At 34.8% G+C, this 22,457-nt stretch overlaps 1 protein-coding gene and 1 long non-coding RNA gene across 5 annotated transcripts in view; one reads left to right on the top strand and one right to left on the bottom strand.

Annotated features, from left to right (window-relative positions):
• GPC5 (glypican 5) overlaps positions 1-22,457 on the bottom strand; it is a 1,468,617-nt gene that overhangs the window by 144,405 nt on the left and 1,301,755 nt on the right. The window lies entirely within an intron of this gene.
• Positions 1,219-21,444, top strand: GPC5-AS1 (GPC5 antisense RNA 1). Of its 3 annotated transcripts, none has more exons than NR_046520.1 (4): positions 1,219-1,299; positions 13,260-13,344; positions 16,774-16,872; positions 21,317-21,444. It is a non-coding gene; the product is annotated as a GPC5 antisense RNA 1 (long non-coding RNA). The 3 variants fall into 3 exon arrangements; NR_049775.1 differs by lacking the exon at positions 1,219-1,299 and adding an exon at positions 2,859-2,925 and having other exon boundaries at positions 21,317-21,443; NR_049776.1 differs by lacking the exon at positions 1,219-1,299 and adding an exon at positions 2,878-2,925 and having other exon boundaries at positions 21,186-21,444.

Genomic DNA, 22,457 nt, shown 5'->3' with positions numbered 1-22,457 from the left:
ATCATTTTTTTGTATATAAAAATACAAAAGACATTCTTGAGTTTAGACTTTCCTAAACAACCTGACTTTTCTTTGCACAATTACCCAATCACACTCTGGAGTTCTATTCCTTTTTTCTTTCAAAACACATCAATAATGTTGTTATAATAAGGACCTGCCTATATCCCATTAAGCTTTTTACCCTTTCTTTCAAAATCCAAAACTTGTCTTGCAAAGAATAAAATTTTTAAAAAAGATAATAGGTGGCAGTCTGTTTAAGGGTTTCCAGTCCAGAAGAAAGACTGATGGAATGTCTTCCTCTCATGTTTGAGAACTCTTAAGTGGGGCCCTTGGATTTCATAAAGTTCTCTGGAAATTTATGCTTTATTCTGTGGTTAAGTGGCTAAGTCCCTTTTTCTGCCAATAGGTTCCATATATTTTATTGGATTACCAAGGGGCTCATGACTGAAAAGAAAGGTTAGAAACTCCTTAATGTCCTAGCAAAAGCTTGATTTTCTCTTGATAGTGTCTATATAAGTAAATGGGACAGAAAATACTATGAAGGCTAGTTGCACCTTATCCGATGAAGGCAAAGTATTTTCCCTTTAAAACCATACACAAACTACATGCACTTTATAATCATATTTGTTTTTCCTTTTAGGACAAGTTGTTTGAAATGAGCTTACATCCTGAAATAACCCCAAGTTATTGGGAACAAGACTTTTGAAAATTTCCTGGAAGAATGCATTGTTATTTTGAACTGGAAGAAAGGTTGAGGTAAAGTCTATTTTATACTGAGATATATAGGCAAAAGTTCCCTTGATATGAATAAAATGAAAAGAAAAGACAATAGGGTGCCAGTTTGTTTAAGGGTTTCTAATCAAAGATTCAGCTAGGTGCCCATCTGTGTTATCTAAATAGCTATTTCCCAAATTTAACTTTGAACTGGAACTTAATGACAGTTTTATAATGGAAATGACCCCTAAATAGGACATACAGGTTTTTTCCTTGCCTCATTAAACCTGGAAGAGGTGACTTTTATGAACCCCCCTCTGTTATCTTCAATAACACAGTGACTTAATGGCATGTGTGAATAAGACATTTGCTTAATCCATCACACTGGAAAGTATTTTCCCCAGATGATTCTAATTCCAAATTATACACACCCCTTTTGTTCCTAAAGACTCTAGTCTATCACTTACACAAAAGTTAGTTCCTTTCTAAGCCTAGCAGTTCAAAGTGGTTTGCAAAAAACTTCTTTTCTGAGCACTTCAACAAAGGTTGCCGTGAACAGTGACTGTCTGACAGCAAGGGATCCTGGTGAGTTTTCAGGTCATTGGCATTGGTGTTTTGAAACTGGCAGTTCTCTTCCTTGTTTCATTTAGCCTGCAATAATGATCATGCTTTTCTTAGAGAATAAATGGATTTTGGATACCAGTTTTTAGAAATTGGAGGGTTTTTAATTTTGTTTTATTTTACCTATTTCATTAGGATACGCTCATCCCTTAATCCTAGAAATAGACATTACCTTTTTCCTCATTGTCTTACATTATATTCTGGAGTCCAAATTCTGCTTGTTTATTGGTAGCATTTGGAACCCTTATCTTGTGGTCTAGCAGCTGCCGGGTGTACAGTTTCTGGGACATCATATAGATACTGTAAGACTAGCTTGTGGTCATCTTCCCTGTGCACCAGGAAGGATTTTTGACATTTCATTCAGTTCCCTGTGTATCCAGTTCTCTGTATAATGGATGGAATTGTTCTGATATCTATCCAGTGACCTTTGCTGGATTCTTACTATACCTTTATCAGAGTCCTCCATCTCCACAGTACTCTGGAGATAGAGTGTGCTATAGATATACAGAGAGAGAAAACACTTCAGATATCCAGAAAGGAAATTGCCACAAATCAGGCCCATTCTGTGGATAGGTATGCAAACCCAGGCCCACATCTTTTCCTACGTTTTGAATTAACAAGTTTGAATGGTCCCCTGGGTAGATGATTCTTGATTTTATTGCAAAAACAACTTTTAGTAAAGGAAAATACACACCCTTTGCACAAGTTTGCCATCTTCTGTAAGTAGAACAGCGAAGTTTATCTTTCACATTTCAAAATTTTCCCTATGTAGTCTTTTTTTCTATGACCATGACCACATTTGTCATAAGAATAAGTAAATCTTTATAAGAAAAGTAGCAGTGGATTTAATTTCAGAATATATTTGCATTTATGTACGTTATGTAACATCAATTTTTTCCTTATTATACTCTTATATTTTTATTTCTGACAATTACACAGAAACAAAATCCCGAGATTATAAAATCATTACTTTAATTTATGAAATTATTTTAGTATAACTAACCAAAATTAACCAAAAATTGTATCTATGAATAATTAAACATGGGCCCATGAAAAATCAAATATTTGGAAGGTTTAACTCTTAAAGTAAGAACTATTATTGAATTACTTTTATAATATTTCCAAATGCCTCTGCTTATGTTTTCAAAACCTTTTTAAACCTTTATTATCTCAGTCTAGTTTCATTGAATGAACTGGTTTCTGCCTATATGGATGATACATAAATATATAAACTAAAGGGCAGCCCTTCAATGGCATCTCAGGACACTGTAAAAGCAGAATGTTTTCTTTACCCTTGACTTATGTTAAGTATTCAGCTCAGGTTAGAGAAATGGTTGTTTCATTGCCCACCCTATTTTTCTTTGCCAGAGTAGATAGAGTATGCTTATCTATTAAAAGCACTCCAGAGCAACATTAAGCCAGGACACCTGTGGAGCTTGTCAACACAGGTTCTTAAACAGGTCACTGGTTGCTGGGGCAGCTTCAAGAACAGAATAACAAGCACTCTTTGGTATGGGTAACAGCAGTTTCAGTGTCTTCCTGTGGTCTGTGAAGAAGAGAAACTTAACAACAAGAAGAGGGAAAGGGAAGGTATTCATTTTCCCATTATTTCTGCTTTGATCACTAATCTATAGCTTTATTTATAAATCCCTGTACTAGTGCTAGTATCTATAGCAAACTATAAGTGTTTGAACAGAAGGTGTGTAACTTACTAAGGCTTTAATTTTTCTGAAGCTTGAAGACAATATGTGACGTTGATTTATGGCAAATTGGGCTTTCATTGCTACCCCAAAACTGCTTCTTTATCACAATGAAAAAGATGAGTGACTTGGGCAAATTTGGGATTATAATATCTTACTCTCTATATACTTGTTAGGATTTTGGAATTGTTAGAACCTCTGGAAAATAAATCTATTTTTAGGTCAGTAAAATGTTTAAAATAGGTTTCTGATAGTTTTGAAAAGCTATGATGTATAACAATTTATGTTTAGATCCTTTAATGGGAAGTGAGGCAGCAGGATGAAATAAATGCTGAAGGAATAGAATGTTACAAGCAATTATTCAATGCCTAGTGATGAAATCACAATGAGAAAAATATAAAACGCCCATAATGGGAAATATTACTTTAAAAAATTTTTGATTTCTTTTAGCTTAAAAGTCAGGGGTCTTATTACATGGTTAAATAGTATTTTTTTTCCTATTAGAACAAAACTCCTCATTTTCTTATGTGTCATTTGTAAAAGCTAGATGTAAGATATTGAGAAATAACCTGGGAATCAGATAAGCTTATACTTTACCCTCTTGGTACAAAATCATTATGTGGGGGGGGGCTATAGGAATCATCTATGTATTTCAAATACATTTTATAGTCATTAGAGACAACATTTTTTATTAGTCTTTTATTATCTTTTTTAATATTTAATTTTTATGAGTACCTAGTAGGTACATATATTTATGGGGTACATGTGATATTTTGATAGTCTTATAATGCATAATAATCACATCAGGTTAAATGGGGGGTATCACCTCAAGCATTTATCCTTCCTTTGTGTTACAAACATTCTTATTCTTTCATTTTTTAACAATTTTTTTTTTTTTTTTTGTGGGGGGACGGAGTCTCACTCTGTTGCCCAAGCTGGAGTGCAGTGGTGCAATCTGGGTTCACTGCAACCTCTGCCTCAAGGCAGAGGCAATTGCTCAAGGCTCAAGCAATTCTCCCACCTCAGCCTCCGGAGTATCTGGGATTACAGGCACCTGCAATCATGCCCGGCTAAGTTTTGTATTTTAGTAGAGATGGGGTTTCACCATGTTGGCCAGGCTGGTCTTTAACCCCGTTGACTGTAGTCACCCTGTTGTTGTGATAGCAAATAGGAGATTTTATTCATTCTAGCTATATTTTTGTACCTATTCATAATCCTGACTCCACCCCTTTGCCCCACTACCCTTCCCAGCCCCTGATAACCATCATTCTATTCCCTATCTCCATGAGTTCGATTGTTTAATTTTTTTGCTCTCACAAATGGGTGAAAACGTGAAGTTTGTTTTTCTATGCCTGGCCTATTTCACTTCACATAATATCCTCCAGTTCCATCCATAATGTTTCAAATGACAGGATCTCATTCTTTTTGTGGCTGAATGGTATTATACTTCATTGTGTACCGCATTTTCTTTATCCATTAGTTTGCCGATGAACACTTCTGTTGCTTCCAAATCATGGCTATTGTGAATAGTGCTGCACTAAACATGGTAGTACAGATCTACATTTGATATGCTGATTTCCTTTCTTTTGGGTATATACCTAGCAGTGGGATTGCTGGATCATATGATAGTTCTATTTTTAGTTTTATGAGAAACTTCCATACTGTTTTCCATAGTAGCTGTGCTAATTTACATTCCCACTAGCAATGTACAAGCGTTCCCTTTTCTCCACATCCTTATCAGCATTTTTTATTGTTTGCCCTTTCAATAAAAGCCATTTTAACTGGGGTGAGATGATATCTCATTGTAGTTTTAATTTGCATTTCTCTGCCATTGGTATGTCTTTCTTAGACCTTTTGCCCATTTTTAATCAGATTATTAGATTTTTTCCTATTGAGTTGAGTTCCTTATATTTTCTGCTTATTAAGCGTTTGTCAGATGGATAGTTGGCAAATATTTTTTCCCATTCTGTGTGTTGGAAGACAACATTATTTCAATAAATGAAATCACATTCACTATGATGTCTCCAAATTACCTGTAACAAACCTTTAATGTTTGTATGAATTGAAGGAAAAAGAGAAAAAGATAATTTTCAGCATTAAATTATTTCTCAAAGGTTTTGCTCTTGACTTTTTAATACATTGTGAATTTCAAACAGCCAAATTACATTATGTTTAATGAAGCTGATGACTTCTGAAGAAAATACACATTTGATGTGTGGTAGGAGAAGAAGGAGAAAGTGTAGAGGATTCAAATGTAACAACAGCTTCTCTCCAGAGTGAAAACTCCCCAAATTAATTCTGGATCTGAGAGTTTGTTTTTGATAAACTCAGAATAAAATTGTTTCTTTAAATATCTGAATATAATTAAATGTCAAATTGAGTTTAGAAAATATAACACCCCAAAAAGTTAAAGTAAATATTATATTCATGGTATATGTCTGGCGGCAGAGGTGTAGACTTGCTAGAACCTAACTCTGAGGCAAGGGCTGTAGCTGGCAATTCACATAACCAGGATCTCCTTTTTCCCTCTTGCTGGAGGCCTGGATTCTTGTCAATGGAAGATAACACATTGATACCATCTCTTTGAATGTGCACTGCTATGTTACCAAATGTGTATTTGCAGAGTTTGAACAATAGAAACAATGAATGTAATAATATTTTGGAAAAGTAATCCTACCCACACCGAGAAGAATACGGTTTGAGAAGTTTTACGGTCTTGCCCTTCACAGCACAGATTTGGAGTGAATTCGAACAGGGCTTGACTCTTAGCCTCTCTGTTTATTGTGCCTGCCACTTCGGGAAAGTCACATAAACTCTCCAAACTTCAGTATCCTCACTTGGAAAATAGGGATAATGTTATCTATGCTGCCCTCTGTAGGGCTGTCATGAGGAATAAATAAAATAGTATATTTTAATTTCATGTCCACATTCCCTATATATTCAGTGGTACTAAAGAAAGCTTATTGGTTGCTGTTGTTTGTTTCAGCATAGAATTTGTTTCAAGTCCAGGTTCCAACACAAACTAGTCTGAGACGTTCATCTTGGAGTATTTTTTTGCTACTCTTTCCACTTCTAAAGATTGTCCTGAAAGATTGATAAAATATCATGCTCCTACTTTATAAGCTCTACCTTTTAAAATAAAATATTAGCCATACATTAATTTATAAAAAATGTTTTGTAGACATACATTGTGCCAGATACTATAAAGCACCAGGATAGAGCTATGCTGAGATCTGAATTCCTTACCCAGGGAGCTGGCAGTCTAATAGGGAGACAGAAAAACAAATGGCCATTACAATGAAGGATGAAAAAGAGATGAAGAGAGGGGATAAAAACAGTATCTGAGGAGCCTCGGTGGGAAGACTTTCTAGATGTGGTCAACCTGGAGCTGAATCTTGAAAGATGAGAGGAAAGTAGCAAGGCAAACAAGCAGAGGAAGGATATTCAGACAGCAAAATTAAGAAATCAATTGTAAGCATGAGAGGTATTCAGAGAAATATGGGTAACTCTGTGTTGCTGGCATATAAATGAAGAAGCAGGAAGTAGCAGAAAATGGAGGGATCTTCTTATAAACATGAAAGAATATTCATGATTTTTGTTACTGTTATTATTAGCACCAGATTGTATGAAGAATAAAATCTTATATTTGGGGTTTTATAATAGAGATGGAATGATTGACTCTTGCCACGTTCACTGATCTCAGTGGTGAGAGACAAAGTCTCCAATCCTGAGTCTTATATCATGGATATTTCTTCATCATTGACAATAAGGAAAAAGAAAAACTTAGGCAAAAATATGTGCTGCATTTCAGAAATAATAAGTAAACTACATGTTAAAATCACCATGTTTTGCATATAGTCTGTTGGATCAGAATCTTCAAAAACTAGATTAATTCTCTAAGCATTCTGCACACACACACAAGTTTAGATTGTAGGTGAGAACTGGAGACATAGACAGAAAACATGTTTGTTGTATGAGCCCTTGTCCATCACCGTGGGATAAATTTTCCATAATTGTCATTTCTTTCCTGCTTCCATGTAAACTCTAGAATCTTCTCTGTTTCAGGATATCTGTATTTTCTCTACTGTATACAGTGGTTAATCCTTGGTATAGTACAGCAAGAGTTAAATAAATTCTCCAGAGTTGAGAAAATTTATGAGATAAAATTCCAAAGTAAGTATAAACATCCAAGTCCAGCCCCTCATGAAGTCCAGATAGCATTATTACTGATAATGAATGAAGTCATCATATGTTCCTGTTAATTGTTAATTCTCTGTTTTATTTGCTGTCAGGAGACTAGAGTTATACTGATCAAATTATTTTGTTTACTTAATCATTTAGAATTATTTCCCTTCCTAAGCCTTCTTCCAGCTCACTATTTCTTGAATTTAGAGCTCACGCTGGAAAAGGGAGAAATAGGAGGAAATTCTGATTCATAAATAGACTTGTGGAATTAGTTATTAAGAAATGTTCAAAATGTAGAGTTTTTCAATCTTACAGTCTATAAATAGTACTTCTAGGGTCTCATCTGAACAAGAAACATGCACACACTCTCATAGAAAAGACGAGTCAAGTCTTTTTTCAGGAACCTGTGCTGATCACTCTATTCAACTGTTTTGAAAATAATGTTTAATTATATTTTTCGTTGCAACATGTATACGTACAAAATCTGAGTACTCAACCATGGAATAAATAAAGTTACTATGTTGCTTAACCAATTCTTTTTTTCTTTTGAGAGGAAGTCTTGCTCTGTCGTCCAGGCTGGAGTGCAGTGGCGTGATCTTGGCTCACTGCAACTTCTGCCTCCCAGGTTCAAGCAATTCTCTGCTTCAGCCTTCCGAATAGCTGGGATTCCAGGCACCCACCACCATGCCTGGCTAATTTTTGTATTTTTAATAGAGACTGGGTTTCATCACCTTGGCCAGGCTGGTCTTGAACTCCTGAACTCGTGATCCACTTGCCTCGGCCTCCCAAAGTACTGGGATTACAGGTGTGAGCCACCGTGCCTGGCCTAAGCAATTCTTTTTATTATGTTGTTTGGCCAAGTGCTTTTTAGGAAAACAGTTGTTATATGGGATGTGGAAAAAAATGTTCACATTTGAATATGGCTCTAAAAAACTGCCTCTTACTATCACAATTGAAATATTTTCATATATGCCACAATATCTCCAAGGCTCACCTCTTTTACATCTATAAAGAGAGAACGATGATATCTAACATGGTTGGCATACGATTGAAATGGATAATGAAGGTAGAAAAGCTTTGTCAGTTGTGAAATTTTCTATGTTTCTGTGTTGTTTTCTCCTGGTTGTTGATGGCAATGTTCTTTATACAACTAATGAAACAAAACAGAAAAGAAGAAAAAGTAAACAATCCAAAATTATGTGGGAGCTTTTTAGCCAAAGATCCATGGTTATCTGGGAAGAATTCTTTGTTCATAGTCACATGAAAAATAGCTTCTGATGATCTATCAACAGTTCCCACTGCTCTGATTTATGCCATAAAATCTGTATTCTTATCTAATGCAGGAATATACATTAAGTGATTGAATAGCAAATTTTGAGCAGCAGATGGGAGGGAAAGATCATATGTAACATAATAACACAGGAAGTTCCTATATTTGTTGACTTCCATGACATCCTATCAAATGTAGCTGGTAAGCTATTTTCTTCCCCTCTAGAGCCAGAGTAGTATTTAAATCACCTTTCTAGGTATTACGTGACAAACAACAGGAATAAATTCAGTTCACCAACAAGAAATGTGCAGATGAAAAATACAACTGGGAAGACAGAAGTCATTTGTTAAAGAGGATCACTATTTTGAAGAACATGCATTGCAATTCTGGAATTGCTTGGTGAACTATGGGAACAAAGTCTGTTACAGCTATTTCTGTAGGAAACTGCTACACTCCTTACCAGAACGGGTGTAACATTTTGTAAGTCCCAACAGCAACATATGAGTGATCCATTTTCTCTGTCAATATTTTGTGTTGTCACTTTTTCTTGTTTTAGACATTCTTATAGGTCTAAATAAGAAATAATACATTTCTTATAGGTCTCAATAAGAAATAAGACATTTCTTATTTTCTTATTTTAGGCATTCTGATAGGTATGTAGTGTCATCTCATCTCATTGTTTTAACTTGGATTTTCCTAAGAGTTAAAAATATTGAACTTTTTTTTTTTTTTTTGAGATTGGAGTCTCGCTCTGTCGTCCAAGCTGGAGTGTATTGGCACGATCTCAGCTCACTGCAAGCTCTGCCTCCTGGGTTCACGCCATTCTCCTGCCTCAGCCTCCTGAGTAGCTGGGACTACAGGTGCCCGCCACCACACCCAGCTAATTTTTTTTGTATTTTTTTTTTTTTTTTTTTAGTAGAGCCGGAGTTTCACTGTGTTAGCCAGGATGGTCTCGATCTCCTGACCTCGTGATCCACCCGCCTCAGCCTCCCAAAGTGCTGGGATTACAAGCGTGAGCCACCACACCCGGCCAGATTGAACATTTTTTATGTCCTTGTTTGCCATTGATATATCTTCTTCAGTGAAATGTCCCTTCAGTCTTTTGCCCATTATCTCACTGGATTTTTCTTTCGAGTTCTTTATATATTCTTGATACTAGTCCACTACTCCTTGGTCTGTGGATAACTGTCTTCTCCCTTTTTCTTCACATGGTCTTCCATGTGTGTGTAAGTGTGTGTTTACTAATTTCTTCTTATAAGGACACCAGTCATATTGGATGTAAGGTGTATTAGTTTGCTTGGGCAGCCATAACAAAGTATCATAGCCTGGGTGGAGTAAATTTAAAAAAAATTCTCACAGGTTTGGAGGCTGGAAATCTAAAATCAAGGTATTGGCAGGGTTGGTTTCCTTTGAGGGCCTTTCTCCCTGGTTTGTGGACAGCTGTCTTCTCCGTCTGTCTTCACATGGTCTTCCATGTGTAAGTGTGTGTTTACTAATTTCTTATAAGGACACCAGTCATATTGGATTGACGCCCATTCATATGACTTCATTTTCCCTTAATTACCTCTTTAAAGGCCCTATCTCAAAAAATCAGCCACACTCTAAGGTACTCTGGGTTAGGACTTCAACATGTAAATCTGGAGGAGGCACAACGAATTTAGTCTGTATCATGTGGTTTGCAAATATTTTCATCCAGTCTATAGTTTGCCTTTTTATCCTCTTAACAGAGTCCTTCACAGAGTAGTTTCAATTTTGATGAAATACAATTTATCAGTTTCATTTTATGGATCGTGGTTTTGGTATAAAGACTAACAACTCATTGTGTAGGTGCCAAAGTCTTTACTGGCTTTTCCTATATGATTTTGCCGTTTTTTTTTTGTTTGTTTGTTTGTTTTTACTGTCTTGTCCTTATGGTTTTACCTTTGACATTTAAGTTTGTCACCATCCTGGGTTGATTTTTAAATGAAATTTATTTTAATTTATATAAAATTTTCTTATCATTTTGGGTTAGATGTAATGGTTTGTGCTTTTGAGAAATAGGCCTGTTTCATCTATGTCGTCAAATTTTTGGGAGTAAAATTGTTCCTTGTATTCCTTTATTATATTTTGATGACTACAGTGCTAGACAGAATCACTGTAACAATGTCCCATTTGATTCCTGATATTGACAATTTTTGTCTCTTTTATCTTTTTTGTCAGTCTCACTAGTGGTTTATCATTTTTTTTTCATCTTTACAAGAACTATTTTAAAATTTATTTTTTGTTTTAAATTTCATTAATTTCTGCTTTATACTTTTTCTTTTCTTCTGCTTGTTAGGGGTTTATTTGGCTCTTCTTTTTCCAGGTTTTTAAGGTAGGAGCTTATAGATTTGAATTTCCCTCTCTGCTAACACAGCATTTAGTATTACAAATTTCTCTTTCAACTAAAGCAGTTTGGCACAATTTTGATATGTTGTATCTTCATTAAGTTCAATGTAATTACTATTTTTTTCTCTTGAAACTTGCTGTTTAACTCATGGTTCATTAGAAGTGTGTTTTTGAGTTGGAGATTTCCATTTACTCTTTCTGCTATTGATTTCTAATTTGATGCCATTGTGGTTTGAGAACATGTTCCATATGATTTTAATTATAAGTTTGTTGAGATGTTTTTTATGGTCAAAGATTTAAACTCTCCTTGAAATAATTCTGAGGGTTCTTGAAAATAATATGTGTTCTACTGTTTTGGAATGGCCTATAAAGTAGATTAGAGACAGTTGATTGATGGTGATATTTTCTCTGTAACCTTGATTTTCTTTCTAGTTGTTCTATCGATTAGTGAGACAGAGATATTAAATGCTCCAACTGTAATTATAGGTTTGTCTCTTCAACAATCAACTAGGAAATAAAAATAAAAGTTTACAGTGGGTATATTTAAATGATAAATGGGTATATTTAAATGATAAATATTTTCTACCATAATGCAAACAACACTTTAGTGTACCAACCAGCCATGACAGTGTACAAGTTGAGGCAAGTATTTTGGTGAAATTTCAAATTCATTCATGTTAATTCAAAGTGTTGTGGATTGTATAACCATATTAACCTAAATTTTTAATAAGTAGGGTCATGTGGCAAAATGTTATGCATGTAATGGTGACATTATTGACAGAGAATTTTTACTTGCAACTCTTATGATTTGACCTATGTCTTTTTTATGTCAGAGCATTTTCTTATTTTTTAATGCACATCTTCTGTATAACTCAAATGCATTTAACATTCAATATAAAATCACTGTTAAGAAGTGGGACTGTACGAATAGTGCACCAAACTCCATTTATATTTTTTCAGTACATTACACACTTTTAACTACAGCATAATTAGTAACTTTTATAATGCAGACTATTTTTAGAAATTTCAAAACAACAGAATAAAATAAACTTGTACAAATTGGGTCATTATTCAGTCTTATATTTTCAACAAATTCATCATTGTCACATAAAAATAATTCTTCCTAGGATATCATTAGGTGTTTAAAGAATATTTAAAGGATTTCTTATTTGCTTTTATAGTTCATTGTTTCACAAAGCTTGATCCCCTGACCACTTTTATCAGTCTCTCCCAAGAGCTCATTAAAACCTATATAACTAGATGCCAATAGGTTTGCTGAATTAGCATCTCTGGGCCAGAGCCTGGGGAATTCTGGAAAATAAGTGTGTTAAGCGAGGTCCCCAAGTGGCTTCCATGCATGCTAAAATTTGAAGATCCTTCCCTAATTGCTTAACATCCAATGCAGACCATCAATTTGTAATTTAAAATGCAAATGAATAGAATTATATTTAGACTTTTCTCTTTGCTGTAACTTGTTCTATTCTCTACTATGTTTTACATTTAAAACTGTACACAATTATTATTCAACAGATTTTTTGCAATTCTGATAACATCATGTACTTTTTAAAAACTTTTTTTCTTTTATTTCCATTCCTCTAAATTACTCTTCTTCTCTGTCACATTAGGATGGTAAATTATCTGGAGGCTGTTTCAATGACATTAGTGAGTTCAACATTTATTTTTTGTCTTCTTTTGAATTAGTAATACCAATCTGTTGGATTTTCACAACTTCCTTTAAGATATATCTGATATTTAACATCATTTACAGAGATAATTATTGTAAATTAACACTGCTGTGCCCTATATAACTATGATAGGATTATGTATGATTTGACTATTATGACAATTAAAACGTTTGGAGTTAGTTATTCTGGAAGTTTATGTACAGGCTAGAAACTTATTTCTCTGGTGTCTTTTTCTGCACAGTGGTATTTCTGCCAGTGGCTATGAGTAGAATTTACCAGAAAGACCTAGCATTGTTGGAGAGCCACTGAGATTATATCCATTTTGAACAAATTCAGTCTTCTTAGAAATCTTTTTCTACAAACTACACTTAAGCTATGGCATCCACTTAAAAGAAGAGGAGCTATGGCCAAGACCAAACTCTCTAGGGCTTATTCTTCCTGCACTTGAACTACTCACTTTGGCAAATTGCATTATGTTTTACAATTGTTGGATAACTTCCTTTAGAAAGAAGTATACATCTCTGCCCATAGCTATGTGACTTCAAGTACCTCCTTGAAGGTGGAGTATACATTTCCACCCCATTATCTGGCTTGGCCATGTTGTTGATGTGGGCCAGTAGAGTGTGAGGAAAAGTGACAGAGTGCTAATTTTGAGCAGAAGTGCTAAGTGGCACCCATGTCTCCCCTCCTGTCATTCTTTTCTCTCTGCCACTGAAGGTCGCCTAAGGAGAAGACACAGGAGTAATGAGAAGACACAGGAGGTAGAGCAGCACTTGCTGACTCAGAAGCATTAACATGAAACGTGAGTAAAACAAATATGCTTCCTATAAATCATCGATATGTAAGATTGTTACTGAAGCAAAGTGGAGTAATATACTGAGTTGTGTGTGGACATTAATGCTATGGTGATGTGACCTATTATCTTAAGAGGGGGTTTCGGCCATGCACAGTGGCCTGTACTTCCAGGACTTTGAGAAGTTGAGGTGGGCGGATCACTTGAGGTCAGGAGTTCAAGACCAGCGTGGTCAACATGGTGAAACCCTATCTCTACTAAAAATCCAAAAAAAAAAAAAAAAATTAGCTGGGCGTGGTTGCGCACACCTATAATCCCAGCTACTTGGGAGGCTGAGGCAGGAGAATTACTTGAACCTGGAGGCGGAGGTTGCAGTGAGCTGAGATCGTGCCATTGCACTCTAGCCTGGGCAACAAGAGCGAAACACTGTCTCAACAACAACAAAAAAAATTAGCCAGATGGTGGTGGGTGCCTGCAGGCCCAGCTACTTGAGAGGCTGAGGCAGGAGAATCACTTGAATGTGGTAGGTGGAGGTTGCAGTGAGCCAACATCAGGCCACTGCACTCCAGCCTGGGCAACAGAGCTAGACTCTGCCTCAAAAAAAAAAAAAAAAAAAAAAAAAAAAAAAAAAAAAAAAAAAGGCGGTTTCCAGCTAGATGCTGCTAGTAGGCACATGTAAATCACAGTTTCATATTTCTATAATTGTAACATATTTTATAGTGAGTATTTTAAGAACACTTTTGCACTTGCTGACCTTTCTCTAATAACATCTCTTCTCCCCAACCTTACGTATTGTCTCTAATAACATCTCTTCTCCCCAACCTTACGTATTGCTCCACAACTTTTTCTAACCCTACTATCAAACTTTCACTCTCTGACTTTTCTTTATAACACATTTAGCATTACTGATAAATTAGAGCTGTATTTCTTATAAACACTATCAGGAAAAGTCAAAGACTTTTGACTTATCCATTGAAGTATGTCTTTTCTTATGGTGTTTATATCTGCAGTAGAATAGAGAATCACTTCTATTGCCAAAGATTACTATCATAAAATATATTTTAAGCACCCTAGTACAGTTGTTACTCTATTTGAGGCAGTAAGAGGGTATGTAGTTGAGAAGAGGCAAATAAAAAGGAGAAGAATTCTGATCATCATTGGAACCTTTGAGTATAACTTAAAGTACACTGCTGTACCAAAAACTATGAGCACTGATAAATCCAAGTATCATGGGAAAATTTCTATTGACTTGGAAAAAGCTATGGATTGCAAATAGTTTACTCTTGATTCACCTAATGGTCAAGTTCTTCAAAATTTGTCTTATATCTTTGGATTTGAAGTTAGTTGAAAAATAAAACAACCATGAGAATATGTTTCTCATGCTGATTCTACAGAAATAAACACTTAAAATATATGTACTGAACATGACCATGTTCATGATAATGCCTTCATTCCATCTTTGGAAATGCTCTATTCCTTACCTTGCTCACAAACTTCCATAACTAATTAGAGTCTGAGGTGGTGTCTCCTTGCAATAATTGGTCATCTTTGCCCATGAAGTTTTGAGATCTGGGATCTGATTGTCATTTCTTTGCTCATGGTCTCTGCCAAAAATCTAATTCAATTAACAACTCAGGTAAAGGACCAGAAATCCAAACCAAGCCAAAAGCCTTCCAATCACTTTGCAACTTATATGAGATCTTGCCTCTGGCTACAAAAAGTTTATTTTTTTCCAAGCAGATATACTGTATATTTTGTAGGATTGTAGCCTAAGCTGAGAAGGATTAAAGGTGTTTTCATTACAACCTGGCTGGTCTTTCCTTGGAAAAGGGAGTCTAGCTCTTAGTACACATGCATTTTTTTTTTTAAAGAAGAGCTTTCATTTGTGTTTCTCTCACTATGATTACATGGGAACACTGGCTGAGTTTCTCAATTAAACTTAGTAACATGCTTTTTCCTACACTGATACATAGCAAATCTGTGCTATTCAGTGAGCCTTTCTTGCTACTTTTGTCCTGTTGGCCATCAGGCTAGTCAAGGGCCGTTGGAAACAAAACAACAAGCAGAGGAAATAGATTCTGACTAATAAGTATAGGCTCAAAAGGTGAGTCTGCATCATACGAGAGGCACAGGTGGACAGTCAGGGTGCATTTCTTCTCTGTTAGGTTCAGCTTTCATTATCCACTTCTAAAAGACTTCTATTTGTGTCTTGGGCTTTGGTCAATGGAATGTACAAATATGAATTTGTAGCATGGTAGTAGAATAAGGAGACTGAATGTACATATGGGTCAATTCAGTTTGCTATAATGAAATAAAATAGACTGGGTGGCTTGAACAGCAGCCATGTATGTCATATAGTTCTGGAGGCTGCTTGAACAGCAGCCATGTATGTCATATAGTTCTGGAGGCTGGAAATCCAAGATTAGGGTGCCACCATGGTCAGGTTATTGGTGAGGGTCTTCTTCCTGGCCGTGTCCTTCTCATGGCCTTTCCTTGGTGTGTACATGCAGAGAAAGAGATCTCACATATTTTCATCTTTTTATAAGGGCATTATCCCAATCATGGGAGCCCCACCCCTAGAATTACATCTAATCCTAATTACCTGTGAAGGGCTCCACCTCTAAGAAACATCACATTAGGAATTAGGATTTCAACATACGAATTTTGCAGGGACACAAACATTCATTCTGTAACATTGAAACACAAATCACTTTAAGTATGTACAGTTCAATTAAATAGATTTGTAATAGGCTATGTGAATGCTTCAATTTGTCTTGATAAGTTAGTTAGTTAGCGGAAAATATTAGAGTGTTCCATTACCAGGGGAGGCTAATATCATCCTGGAAGTAGAGGACATTTCAACTCTCTTGACTAGAATATACAGGAGCAGGCAGAGTAAGGGCTGTCAAAAGACCATTTGATGGCTAAGGGCAGTAAGACGAAAAATCATATTTGGACAAAGTAGAATCTAACTGTGGGAGCTGGCTCTATACTTCTTTGAAGGCTTTGTTTCACCTTCATTTTCCAACACTAGTGCTATCTTATGGAAACTTTTTTTCTGGTGGAAAATTCTCCCATTTGCCAGTCAACAACATACTTCCAGCCAGATGATCAGACCAATATATTTTAATAGCATTCTAGATATAATCACACATAAGGTAGAATGAAAATGAAGTTAAGCCTTATTTGTATTAAATTCATATAAAATTTGAATTATAACTTTTAATTTCTGGATTATGCATAACTGATTACGTATGACATTTTGAAAATGGTTCCCTACAAACATGGCAAATGAATCAATTGTACAATAAAGGAAAAGAGATATTAAAGGAATTTTTTTCTGTTCATTTAATTGTATATTATTTATTATATTAATATTTGTTGATGGACTACTTCTAGGCTGGGTACCTCAACAGAGTCTTTCTTTTTGTGACACAGGCTGGAGTGCAGGGCACAATAATGGTTGACTGCAGCCTCAACCTCCAGGGCTCAAGGGATCCTTCCACCTCAGCCTCCCCAGTAGTTGGGATTACACAGGTATGCCACAACACCAAGCAATTTTTTTTTTTTTTTTGGTGGAGATGAGGTCTTGTTCTATTGCCCAGACTGGTATTAAACTCCTCAGCTCAACCAATCCTCCTGCCTCAGCTTCTCAAATTGCTGGGACTACAGGTGTGAGCCACTGTGCCCAGCCCTTTATTGCCTTTTAAAAGCTTGCAAACTCACTGTTTAATACTATTTAGTAAGAGAAAGATAGAAGTTTAAAAAATAACTTTATACATTGCTTTCCAACATAGACGTATTGTGAGCCAGGAATGCAAGTCACATATATAATTTTAAATTTTTGAAAAGCAACATTAAAAAGGAAAACATGTAGTTGAGATTAATTATGACATTATGTATTTATTTCACCCAATATTTACAAAAATTATTTCAAGATAGAAAGAAATTATTGATGAGATTTTTACATTCTTATTTTTTCTATATTATGTCTTTAAATTCTGCTGTATACTTTACACTTACAGTATATCTCAATATGGAATAGCTACATTTCATTGCTTTTATAGCCATATGTAGCTAGGTGCTTCTGTAGTAGACATTGCCCTATAAAAACTTACTCAGAATAAAATTCATATTCTATTTAGTCTTGGTAAACTGCATAATAACCTGTCTTGACAAAAACGAAGTAAAATGAATTGTCAATAGAAATCAAAGTTGGAATATAGAACCTCACTAGAAATAATAAATTATTTACCTTACTACACTAAATTCAAAACTTATTTGAATGAATAGCTAAATAAAAATTCCTCGAAGTTAGTTTTAAATTATTAGGTGGAGCTTGTTGGCAAGACAAAAAAATGACCACTAGAGATATGTCACTTAATTTCACATGCTTTCAATTTAATCAGAGTAACACAATCACTAAACTTTTTGCCATAATATTAATTCTAGTACATCCATATTTGCAGTCCCATGAGCACTGTTCTTAACAAAGACCCTACACATCGAGATCATTAAAGATCTTACTTAGAACATAGTATTTAGACACATACATGTATTCAAGTATATATATATCCATATAAGTGTATATATATATACTCATATATATACACACATTGAGTATATATATATACACTCATATATTTACACACTAAGAGTGTGTGTGTATATATATGTAAGTATATATATGTGTGTGTGTATATGTATATATATATACTCTTAAGCAAAATATTCAAATATACAGAACTCTTATTATCTGCATATGCCCGATGATGCAAAATTGACTTCTTAGTATTAAAAAATGCATAGGTAAATTCTTCCATAAGTGGATTTCCTCCTTTTTTCTTAAACCAAAGGACAATAACCAATAGGTCATCATTTGTAATATTTCACATATTAGTGGTTTTGTGAGTTTAAGAAAGAAATCATATATAAAGAATAATTTAATTTGATGAATTTTGAAATCCCGTATTCTTGAAAGGATTTTGCTTCTGATAATTTTCCAATTGGGAAAATCATCTTCAAAAGGGTTTGGCTAAAAGCCTAGAGATAAATAGGCTTTTAATAAACATAATTTTCCTTTTTAATTGTTTTGGTTGGAGAATGAGAAAACTTTATTCTGCATTAGTAGTCAATATTTGTTCATGGAAATTCTCTCATATTGCCATTCAACTTCAGCATTCACAGTGGTCTAAGCAGCACTTCATAATACCAAACTTAACTGTGGCTGCAATTTTTTATTAATTTTTATGTTTGTTGCATTGGAGAGAAAGGGTTATTTTTGAAACATAAAAGCTTAGGAAAGATTTTACAAATTGGAATTTAAGCAAAGCATTGTTCTCTTGGTTTACTCCAACAATTTAAGGGTAATTAGAAATGTAAACTTCCAACGCCAATGAGAGAAATGACTTCAGTGTGTCATCCAGCCAGAATTACTTGCATAGTCCAAGTTAACATATTTTATTTCCAATGAGGATAATATTAGAATACAATTTTATCCAGAATTATGATGGAAACATTTTATTTCTTTCATGGAACAACGGTATTTAACAAAATAATGGGTAAAGAATAAACTAGGATCTCTAAAGCTCTGAAAAATCTATTAAATATTAAATGAATTCCCATGTGTGTAAAATTTTAGGTGATTTGCTCATTTCTTTATTTACAAATCGATATTCCCAGGACTATATTTAAACTTACTGAACAGAACACTAGTTAATTAAAATCTACATTTTAGATTTGTATACCCTTCCCCCAATTAACAGTAACATGCTGCTCAATGTTGTGAATAAAATATATCTAAAATATTTATATTCTTTATGAATAAATATAAATTTTTAAATAAACTTATAACATCTTATAAATATAAAAAAATTATACATCAATTTTAATAATTCTTAATAAATTATTTATAATGAATTTATATAATATTAACCCTTTTCTATACTGAAAAATTTTATCAGGTAATTAAAATAAATGGTTTACAGATTCAAAGAGTTCTATATGACAAATAAAGACAAAAAACCCTAGACTTTCAAAAGGCAGATATAATATTGCTTTTCCAGAGAGGTGTTTATCTCCCTATTTCTAAATAAAGTACTTATATAATTATTTCTGAATTTCTAGTATTAGATATTATCTATCATATCTCCTACAGTTAAGGATAAAGATTGAGCTCTCCTATTCCTTAGCCCAGCCCCCCAAGGGACACATGTACATATTCTTCCCTATTCTCTATTTTTAATTAATTTATTCTTTTGAAAACAGTCCCTATTGCATGTCAGGTATTATTGTGAGTTCTGGTAATTGATAAAAGTCCCTGTGCTCATGGAGCTTACATATTATTGGAGGAAGGTAGAAATAAATAACTACATTACATAGTGCATTCGAAGGTGGTAAGTGCTACTAAAATAAATAAATAAATAAATAAATAAATAAATAAATATATATATATGCCAGGTATAGGGATGAGGAGTATAAGGGTGGGGGAAGAATTGAATTTTAAAATAGGTAGGTCTCTCTGAACAATTCCCATCTGAGCTTTAGAGGCAGGTCAAGCAGCCAGTGTGAATATCTGAAGTGGAATATGCCGGGTTGGGGGAGCCAAGGAGACCAGTGGTGCTGGAGCAAAATGAACAAGGGGGAAGTCATGGAGGGAGGAGGGAGTGGAGATCACATAGAGTTACATATGCAAGACACCGATTAGCTTTTTCTCTGAATGAGATGGAGAGCCATTGGAGTTTTGAGCAGAAAAGTGACATGCATTCACAAAAATAACTGTGGCTGCCCTGTTGTGAATAGGCGATGATGGACCGAAGTATAAGAACCATTAGGACACTGTTGCAATAACCCAGAAGAGAAAATGGGGGCTTGGGCTGGGGAGGTAGCTGGAGAGGTGATGAAAAATGACTGGATACTGGAAACATTTTGAGATAGAATCGAGAGGATTTCCTTATGGATTTCTATTGCTTCTGACGGATCATGGGGTAACTCAAGGATTCATCCAAGATTTTTGGCCAGAATATCAAGAAGAACAGAATTATTACTTAGTTTGAAAGGAAGGTGAATAAAGCAGAGCTTTGGGGAGGGGGCAAGAGGAGAAGAAAAGAATTCACTTTGGAAATTTAAGATGCTGTTTAGACATTCTGGGTAGAGATGTTTGAATAAAGATTTGGATAGACCAATCAAGAATTCAGAGACATAGAGCTATATCATCAGCATGCATATGGATTTAAAGCCACACACTGGAAAAGATCATTCAGGATGTGAGTGTAGAGAGAACATAAGATACTTGTGGATGAAACTCTATGGATTTTCATTGTTAAAAGTTTAAATAAAAGGGCAGAATATAGCAAAGGAGGTAACTAAGGACCATGCCACTGTGAGGCAGGAGGATCAGTGCTTGGTATTCTGCAAGCTACTCTCCCTTCCATTCAGTTCCTCTGGAGAGTGCACGTCCCATCTCCTATAACAGGGGAGAAAAGTAGTTACCTACATCTTTGAAATGACAGGGGTTTCTGGAAGAGCTTATCATTTAAGTCCTATCCTGTCCCCTGACATTTAAAATGCATGTGAGGCCTTTATTTCCTGATCTTTTCTGAGTTCAGAGACTGGAATTAGCTTTTATTTTCCCTAGTATTTCTTCCCAGAATGAATTCCATTTTTAGATGTCTCTGGTATGCCAAGTCATTTATCACTTTTTCATCTATTCGCCAACGATTCTAAAATAGATTGCTAGAATGTGGATTATGAGATAAAGGAATATGAAGAAACTTGTGATTTGTGAAATATACAAGAAATGGCCTCTATAGATATTGCACTAAAGAGAATTTCTTCTTCCTTTCTTACAGTTATTCCACTGATTGAAATCTGTGATACTTAATAGCTCTTATGTCTAATCATATCAATATGCAGCTGGATTGATACACTCCTGCAGGTGGTTGGGGCTCCTTCACTGCCATGTATGTCCCTTTTGTTGCAGATATTTCAAGATTCAGCATCATTTCAGACCCTGAAAAATCCCTGAAAATTGAATTCTCAATAGATAATGCAACTCCACATAATATCTGGATTTTGTAAATGCTTGCTAATAAATTATTTTACAACGTGGGTGAGTTTAGGTGTGTAGGTGATTTCCACACATTGAGAGCCAAAACATCAAATTTTAATGTTGGTCTGGTGAAAGAGACATAATATTTGATGGTTCATGAAGAATACTACAACATAATAAGCATTTTAGATCCAGGGTTATTTCTTTGTATGACTTATTTCCTTTTATGGCCATCAATCCAAATTTTAAAAATAATTTTTTAATATATTTAAGATGTTGTCATGTGTCCTAAAATGACAAAAATAAATTAGACACATGTTTAATCATCATTCCAGTTTGGTTTATTCACTCATATTTTATTGCATAAAACAAGTCAAATTATTTAGCATGATGTCAAAGTCTTAAGTGTAAACCTCTTGGGGGAAACAGCAAAGAATTGGGAAGAATATTACAGTCTATCATGTGAATTTCATCACCACAATCAGAAACTAACACAAAACCCAGAAGAAACCCTAAGAAAGATACCTGTAACCTGAAGAAGATGTAGACTAGATGCCAAAGACAGAGAATGATCTGAATGGAAAATTTTGCAGCTAAACTATTTTCCCTTTTTTGTATGTATCAGGGCAAAACAGTGCCTAATTTTCTCCTCATTTTCTATCATGAGGCAAGAAAACACATCTGTCAAATGTGGCAGGGTAACCTCAGAGAAAAGCTGGAGACAAGCTATGGTCATAAATGTATGCTAAATAGATGGTTCAACATAAGAAAATGTAACAAGTTAATTCAACACATTCATAGACTTGACTTCAAGAGAAAATTTAGGCAGCATTGCAATAGAAGCAGAAACACATTTGAAAAAGTCCAGTATTTATTTGTTAAAAACTCATACCAAATTGTAAAGAACATTGATGCTATGAAGAAACTGCATCAACTAGTGGGCAAAATAATCAGCTAGGCTTCATAATGGCAGGATTAAATGCATACCTAACACTATTAACCTTAAATGTAAATGGGCTAATTGCCCCAATTAAAAGACACAGACTGGCAAATTGAATAAAGAATCAAGACC

Source organism: Homo sapiens, chromosome 13 (genome assembly GCF_000001405.40).
Source record: "Homo sapiens chromosome 13, GRCh38.p14 Primary Assembly".
Classification (NCBI taxonomy): domain Eukaryota; kingdom Metazoa; phylum Chordata; class Mammalia; order Primates; family Hominidae; genus Homo; species Homo sapiens.
The sequence above is the reverse complement of the archived record's forward strand: the minus strand, read 5'-3'. Positions and strand labels throughout refer to the sequence as shown.